Source organism: Homo sapiens, chromosome 12 (genome assembly GCF_000001405.40).
Source record: "Homo sapiens chromosome 12, GRCh38.p14 Primary Assembly".
Classification (NCBI taxonomy): Eukaryota; Metazoa; Chordata; class Mammalia; order Primates; family Hominidae; genus Homo; species Homo sapiens.
Genome location: NC_000012.12, coordinates 97,331,254 through 97,340,734, shown reverse-complemented (window position 1 = coordinate 97,340,734; position 9,481 = coordinate 97,331,254).

Below are 9,481 nucleotides of genomic sequence, written 5' to 3'. Positions count from 1 at the left end.
TAAACAATACAGTATGACAACTATTTACATAGAATTTACACTGTGTTAGGTATTATAAGTAATCTAGAGATGATTTCAAGTATGTAGAGGATGTGCATAGGTTATATGTAAATACTACACCATTTTATGACAATGAATTAAGCATCCTTGGATTTTGACATTTTCAGAGGTCCTAGAACGAATCCCCCAAGAAGAGACAATTGTATATAGTATATGTACACAGTCTTCTCTAATCCTGAGAAGTAATCTTGGTCTAACATAAAGAACATATTTTTATATACCTTCAATGTGAAACCAGCTCATGATGGCCTGGTTTCAAAGGCCTATTGCTGAGCAGCTTAGGTACTCAGGTGCTTGGAAGTGGTTTGTAGCCCAAGAAGGATTTATAAAATGGTAGAAGAAAATAATAACATAAAGAATATCAAACTGAAATAAATTCCTTAATATAAAAACCCAAACATATGAACCTGCTCTACGCCAGAACTGAAGCATTTCTTTCTGTTTTGATCTCCCAAAACTCGTTGGGCAGACAGATCTTAACACTGTGATGACAGCATCTCCCATCAGATATATATTCTGTGGAGCAGGTAATAGGGCTGTGAAGTACGTTCTTAGACTATCAAGAGGGAAAGGCTTCTCAAGTCAGGGAAAGAAAGAAAAGCTAGAAGTACAACTTAATGCATCAACAGCAAATATTCTAAGAACCCAACAAGAAAAAATGGGTTTGAATTAAAGCAAGAGGAATTTCAGTTTGTTGTAAGAAAGGATTTCTGGATAATTGCTAAGTGCCTGTTAACTTGCCAGTTACTGAGAGTAGGAGGTGGCCTGCTCAAGCCAGGCTCTCAACTTCATCATGGCCAGGAGAAGTCTTCCTGAAACATGAAACCTTATCATGTTAGACTTCTGCTTAAAACACTACAATGACATCTACTGACTTTTAGAATCAAATATATGGAACACAAGATTGTTTTTTAAACATAAGCCACTGCCTTCATCTCCAATTTTGTTTTCTCCCACTCCTTCTTCGACACATTAAACTATTTACAGTGCCTGCACACGTGCGTGCACACACACACACACACATACACAGCTACACACAGACGCACACCATGGTTCTCCAGGTGTCTTTGCCTTTGCATATTCTGTTTGCTTTGCCCAGTCCATTTGACAAACTCCTCCTCTTCATGGAAACATTGCATGGATTTTGTCTCTCCATGAAGTTTCCTGTGAGCCTGAACTGGCAAGATTAGTCACATCCATATCAGTAAGTCTTCTGAATTTCTAAAATTTCATAAATTTTCCTGTATGTTCACAATTCTATTCTACTACTGCATTTGTTTTACTCCTACAGAGTATGAGCTTCTTAGGGGAAGGGACTATATTGCTTTTTGGAGGTCCCTAGCATATACTATAAATCAGCATAAGGAGGTACTCAATAATTATTTGTTCCACTACAGAGAAAGAGCTGAAATTTATTTTTTCCATTCACCTTCACTCATTCTATTCTGTCACACTGGGTGAGCCCCAGGATCACACAAGAGCAGGCATTTCTCAAGCCCATTAGCTTATTTGTAATTCTACTTGGATACAAACATAGCCACATCAGTTGTTACTTGATTCTAAATCCTAATTTGGTCTATCCATCTTACTCTTATCATATTATTCCCCAAAAGCTTGCTCAGCAAGACTACCATAGATGGTGGTGGTTTTAAAAAGGCCACAGATTCTTTGCCACCCCTTCCATTAAGAGTGGGAGTCTCATTCTTTGCCTTCATATTCTGGCCTGGTCTTAGTGACTTTTTTTTAATCACTAGAATACAGAGGAAGTGACATTCTGGGGTTCTGAGGCTAGACCATACCTTGCAGCTTCTTCCTGCTCTCCTTGGAGACTCTAAGAACCCTGAACTGTCATGTAAGAAGTCCAGTGGCCCTGAGACCCTATATGCTAGAAAGCTCACATACAGGTGTTCTGATTGACAGCCGCACTTGAGCCTCACCCTTCCGACCACTCTGCCAAGGGGCCAACATGTGAATGTATCCTTCTTCAACCCACCAAAGCACTTTGTCGGCCAGATAAATGCTACCTAGTGGCCTTTGTTGATGCCATATGGAACAGAAGAATCACCCAGCTGAGATCTGCCTAAATTCCTGACCTACAAATATGTGCAAATAATAAAATGGTTATTGATAACTGCAACACAGACTCTTCTCCTCAACTTCCACTTCATTGCTCAGCTCCCTTATCATCTCAGTCTATATAAATATAGAAGTATTCCTACTTTGAGTCCTTAAATTATGGAATTAATTTACTCTAGCAGATCTTTTCTCTCTATCTCTGGTGAGGTGTATTTTCTGTTCCTTTCTCAGATAATGAATTCTCAGTCTGACTTATTCCTTAAAATGTTCAGCTCTTTCTAATCTTATCATTTATTTTTTCCTTCTATTTCATTATACCCCCACTCCCCCTCCTGCTATGTCATTGTTACAGACATCAGTAATCCCTGAATCTTCTTTCCTTTCTTTTCAAGAGAGCTCTATAGAATTATCCAGCAACCGAAGTGTTAAGTATTTGAACAGGTAATGAGGATATGCTGGAGACTCTATATCCCTGGAGTCTTTAAAATAGGATAAGCAATAGATAATCACCTATCCGATTGGGTGTTTTAAATATTCCTCATCATAGGATCAGAGGGCCCGGATTGAACAATCCCTAGTGATTCCTTTTCTGCCAGAAGATTCTATGTTAGATTCAGATGCATAGAACCAGTCGAAGTCTTGAAACATATGAGCACTCAAATTCTTAATAACGTAGTCTGATTACAAACAAATAACTGCTTGAATCATGTGTTTGACGTATGTTTGAATAATTTCATTTTTTGAAACATGTTTGATTGTTTAAAACAACTCTTCTGACTATGATCAATGTTTATCATTATATTAATTTCCTTTCGGGTATTTTGTAATTTTCTTCCTCCAAGAATACTACCAAACTTTGCTATTTTCTACTTCTGGTGTATTCAATTGTTGTTCAAATGTGGCTTTTTAAAATCCACCTTGTGTATAAAATAAAAAGAGAGAAAAAGCTACTTGACATTTTTGCTTTGGTGTCTAACCCATGCACTTCAGAAATGAGTGAGCTTCATTTTCGTAATTGATGACAAAATGATCATCTTAGAATGTGGGGAAGATGTAAAATTCTTTCTGTTTCTTCACTGCGGGTTTTCCCCTCAAACCAACTGAGGAGAAGCAGCACTGCCAAGTAAAAAAGTTTAACAGTTTGTTATGTTAATCTTTAAAATGTACCCAGAAAACATTTTTTGGCCAAAGCAGTCAAGATTGACAGCTGTTCCGTGTCCCCCACTGAAAACAAATGGAGTAAAGAGTTCTGTGCATGTGATGTGTTGAACAGTCAAATGACAACTGTGGGTTGATCCACACTCTAAAGCAGCAGAATTAGAAGGAGGGTGTGGAGTGGGGGTAGAGGGAGGCATGCTGTAGAAAGCATTATACTTGCATCACCTGCCAATTCTTGTCAATATGGCAAAATGTAGTTGCTGTAACTGAGAGACCCCATAGCTATAAAGTTCTCACTTTCGAGTCTCATTCAAAGTGAGATTAGAATCAGGTTGGAACAGACTCACAGAGAGATTTCTCTCCTTCGCAATGTTATCACGGAGGAAAGGTAATGTCACATAGAGTCCAAGAGCCAAAAGCAATCACATAAGGAGGGCAGCCATGCAGCAATGCACTGCAGAGCTCAGAACAGCAGAAAAGTCCGAAGGATTGGAGATTCCTGAAAGGGAAGGGGAAACAAAGACTGCCTTAAGAGGGGAGTATGCCCCCAGATGAGGAAGCCGTGTTAGACAGAGATGCCACAAAACACATCAGCTTAAGAAAGAGAAGAGTAGAGCCAGACACTGGTGCTACTCCTGCCGCTGTACTTAAAAAAACTACAAGTTATTAATCCCTCCATAACTCGGTTTCCTCCTCTGTAAAAAGATAATAGGTCCTAAGAATATTGTGGTATATTAAATGCATTTATTTTATAGTTCTGAGAATACAAATTACTCAGTGTTAATTTTTATATTTATTATTAAAGATTTCCTGAGTCCCCCTTGCTGTTTATATTGTTTTGTTTTCTGCACTTGTTTTATACTCAGTTATTTAGTTGATAATATTGCTTTATCAGCCAAGATAACTCTAAAATTAAAAGTTAAAATTAATCAAATTTTCTTATATTAACTGGGTCAGAAACCATCCAACAACTTTGTTGTTTCTGCCTACCTAATGGCCTGATAGGTGAAACCATAAAGGAGAAACAGAAACAACAGAAAGCTGAAATAAACTTTCTAAAGGGTAAGATTCTGATCTTTCCATCTTCTACACAGTACAGCAAATAAAACTCTAGATATATAGTTTTCCTAAAGTTAATAGATAGCAGTTAAGACTAGAGGCAAAATGTTTTTTCCTCAGAATACTTAAAAAAATAGTAGCTGCTTCTTTCCAGCTAAACTGTCAAAATCATGAATGCAGGAATAGGGTCTATCTTACTCCATACATACAAGGCAACAGACAGAATAGGTATTTGTTGGTTGACATTATTTTTTCTCAGTTAATATTTATTGAGGGTCTATTATATGCTAGACAGAGAGCTCAGCAGTTAATAAAACTTAAAACTTATAAATACAGGCTTTCTGCATGAAGCCTATATTTCAATGGAGAAGAGAGATAATAAGCAAGTAACAGAGATAGATAGATAGACAGATAGATAGATAGATAGATAGATAGATAGATAGATAGATAGATAGATAGAAGATATGACAGAAGATATGATAGATTAGATAGATAGAAGGTAGATAGATAGAAGACAGAAACAGCTGGATAGATAGAAGATAGATGATAGATAGAAGTTTAATGTAATGTCAGATGATGATGATTGCTGTGAATTAAAATAAAGCACGGCCAGTAGAGACAGAGTGATGGGGGCTGCTGTCTTAGATTAGTGGTTACAGATGACCTCTCAAGGGACATGATTGTTGATAAATGACCTATGTAAATTGAGGTAGAGAGACATGACATATCTGAGTATATATAAAGATTTGGGTGAAATAACTAAAAGAGAGGCATGTGGAATTTTCTTAATTAAAAAAATAAAACATCTCCATGTAAAGATCAAGAGTAAGCCTGTATTCAGATATCAGATAACTTGTGAAACATTAAAATATCTCACGAAAAGGTTCTTAATTCTAATTTTCTTTCATCACCTTAAAAATGGCTATAGTTATTCTCCACCTTAGCTACTGTAATAGAAATAAGGTCAATACACTCAGTGTGTACAGACTGAAATTAATCATGTGTAATGCACAGTCCATTTTGAGAGATGAGAGAGCAGCAGCCAGTTGACTATTCTGCCTAATTCGGTAGGTTACCTGAGCCACAGTGAGAACGCATGGGTGTTTGATGAACTGGAATAGATTTATCATGCTGGACACTTTCCTGTTTGAAACATTCTCGTAGCTGATCCCTTTAAGGCACCCTTTGTTATACAAACAAAATTGTATTTACCTTCAAGAACAACAGAGGATGCTTGGTAGAAAATTAATTTTATGTTTAATTAGGAGCTGTTCACATTATCTGGCTCATATCTGGTACTGTCAGTACACCATGGTACTGCATTCCACATAAATAGGAATTTTTACCTGGAAGATTGCTTTTTAGCAAAGATATATTTTACTAGGGCCAATTGTGCTATGCATGTATATCATATTTCCTGAATCTCATATCCTTATATTTCATTCAAAAGAGCCCAGAGAGAACTAAAATAATATTTTGACATTTAAGCTAAAAAGTAAAAAATAAGAGGAATTTCAACCATTAGAACAGTAGATATCAATTTCTGGCTAAACGTTAGAATCACCTAGAGAGTTTTTTAAAAATACCAGTGCACATGTCATACTCGTCGGGTTTGTGCAGCCAGGCTTAAAAACTACAGCACCAGAAAATTCTTTAGAGATATATGAGTTATAAAGTGAGAAGTTTGAATAATAGTATTTGAAAAGTATTTTCTTCATGGCTTATTTTATTTGAAGGTCTTAAATAACATATATCATACTATATAAAATATTACCAAAGAAAGCAACTTAAACTGATGTTAATTTTAACAACTAGCAAGAGCTCATTGTAAACAAGACACTCTGCTAGATACTATAAGTTTATGTGAAATGAAGAAATGCTTACCTCGAGCACAGTAGGATTTACCAGAAAGCTACTGAGTCTAAACTCCAGGGCCTTTATTTGCACAGCCCCCTTCCAAGGCCCTGAGAGGGACCCTAGCAATGTGTTGATATTTTCATAGCTTTTATAAAATTTGCGAAAATCTAGCTGGGCACAGTGACAGGTGCCTGTAATCCCAGCTACTCGGGAGGCTGAGGCAGGAGAATCACTTGAACCCAGGAGGCGGAGGTTACAGTGAGCCGAGATTGCACCATTGCACTCCAGCCTGGGTGACAAGAGTAAAACGCTGCCTCCAAAAAGAAAAAAATTGCAAAAATCATATAGTTTATCCACTGCTGTCTCTTTCCCTGCTAGCTTTCCAATCACATGTTTCCCTGGTACCTGGTGGTATCAAGTAATCAGGGATATTTGGGGGCTCCAGAAAAGGAGGAGTTGAATGAAGATACATTCGGTTTTGGTTTATAGAATATATTCATGTGATTTACTGTCATTTCTGTGCATACCTAAGTGATTGCTAGTTGTCCTGAGCTAGGAATGGTTTGCAGAAATATTACCCACTTCCCTAACTCAGGCTAGTGACATGAATTTTCAGGACAGACTAAAAACTCATAATAATAAGTTGGTGAAAAACTGGTTAACAAATGTTGTCAATTCAAAGAGAATTTGTGATTAGTCACTGCACATGAAAACTTGCAATGACCTGAGGTCTTACAACTCACCTGTAAAAGACACTTGTAGAAGCTTTCCCAAATTCAACAATAATTTCAATAATATCTATGACATGACCAATAGCAAACTTTTAAGATATGGGAGGCTTTTCAAAGCTTTCAATAACGAATAAATCAGCTGTGCCAGACGAAAGATGAGATTATCTTTTTCTTTTCTATACAGAAAATAATTTTCCAAGTTTATTGTCAGATGAAGAGTTAAAGAATGCACCAAAAAAAGTGTAAGTAAAAATATTATATGTGTCAGAAAGTTATTTTTAAAAATATTTCTTTTCCTGAATCTTTATAGACTTTGACAGATTTTTTAAAATTTGTTGTGATTTCTTTCCTCATTCTAAACATTCACTTTTATATCTATTTTTGTACTTGTAATTTTGTATTTTTTAAAAGATACCCTCAAAACTGTATAAGCTTCAACTCCCACCTGAATCCACCCCTGCCTCAAGAAACTCATAAGCATTGGCTCATAATGACTTACCCTACAAACCAGTCATATGCTTAAAATTCCACCTTCCTCCAAAATTCAGGTGGAAACAATACAAAGACAGGGACTTATTGATCTGAAAGAATGAAGAGCTACACTATTTGAGTAATATTTATTAAATTGTGTATACATAGTGGTGTAAAGTTTCCAAAAAATTATATTATAGTTGCAACATGGATGTCTTGAATCCATAGTAGAGTCAATTATATCAGCCAGGCAAAACTAACTACGAAGAGTGAAATCAGCAATTTGCATAGTGCAGGTGCTTCTGCCCTCCATTCTAGTCCACGAGCATCCACCTGAGTGTGATGTGGCACACCCAGACCTGCTGCTCTTTGGTTCTTAGTTCTCCACGGGCCCCTTCTAGCATCAGCATCTTCCTAGGCTAAGTATGAGTCTAGTGTTTAAAGACACATATTTTTTATACAACAGGAAGCCTAAGTAGAAAACATTTTTTTTAATCTGGCAATGCTAGAGGGAATTTTGTTCATATTCCTATTTTTCCTTTTGTGCTGACTTTTCAATGTGAGATTGTTCAAGTATATAAAGAACAGGACAACGAAAACCCATTTATCAAGTATGTAGAGCAAGTGTTCACATGTTGCCATATTTGCTTCATCTCTCTATGCTCATATCCATTTTTTATTAAACTGTTACAAAGTTACAGACATCATATCACTTCACCCTTAATGCTTCAAAATGTAGCTCCAAAAAAAATAAAAAATAAAAAAAATAAAAAAGACTCCTACATAACCGTGACAGCATTATCATGCCTTACAAAAGTAACAGCAACTCCCTAATATGGTCCACATAATCCACATTCAAATTTCTTCAATTTTCTTGAGCATAACTCTGAGAGCTAGTTTTTTCCAAACCAAGATCTAGTCATGTTTTGTGTATTACATTTAGTTAATGTCTTTTTACTCCATTTCAGCTCCATGATATTGACTGTTTCCAGGACCAGGCTTGATATCTTACAGGACAGTCCACATTCTGAATTTATCTGATTCTCTTTCTTTCTTTTTCTTTCTTTCTTTCTTTTCTTCTTTCTTTCTCTCTCTCTCTCTTTCTTCTCTCTCTCTCTCTTCCTCTCTCTCTCTTTTTATTTTTTCTTTTTTTTGAGACTGAATCTAGTTCTGTCATCCAGGCTGGAGTGCAGTGGCAGGATCACAGCTCTCTGCAGCCTTGACTTCCTGAGCTCAGAAGATCCTCCCACCTCAGCCTCCAAAGTAGCTAGGACTACAGGCGTGCACCAACTACCCAGCTAATTTTTGTATTTTTTTGTAAAGACGGAGTTTCATCATGTCACCCAGGCTGGTCTCAAACTCCTGGGCTCAAGTGATCCTCCTGCCTTAGCCTCCCAAAGTGCTGGAATTACAGGCATGAGCCATCGCACCTAGCCAATCTGAGTGTTTCTTAATACGAATTTGTTGCATTGCCCACTGACTTTCCTGTAATCAAGAGATTAAATCTATTGCTTGATCAGATGAATACTTCATAAGCAATTCCAAGTATTGATTTTGGAATATGACCTCCTTATAAGATGCAACTTTATTATAAGACCTCAATTAAATTTCAGTAGAGGCCTGAAATTTCTATCCAGGAATTTTTATCTTTACAGATAAAGACACTAAGTCTGGAGTGTCTAAATGACTTGCTTAAGGTCACACGAAAGGAAACAATTAAGATCACAAAGAGTTGGCATGGTCTTGTGATCTTGAATTGTCTAAGTCTGGGTGAAACGAGCCAGTTTTGCCCAATTCAAATGGGTACTTTCCTGAAGCCTTACTTTCCAGTATGAGAGAACATACTGGAAGATACAGAGATGACTATTTCTTTATTAAAGATACAATAATTCAGATGGTAAATGCGATTGAACCCAGAAATAAATTCATCAGCAATAGATTTATAAGTCAAGAATACCACATTATGGCTCTATATAGTCAACCATATCAGCTATGCAAAACAAGTTACAAAGAGGGAAATCAGCAATCTGCATAGTGCAGGTGCTTCTGCCCTCCATTCCAGTCCGCCA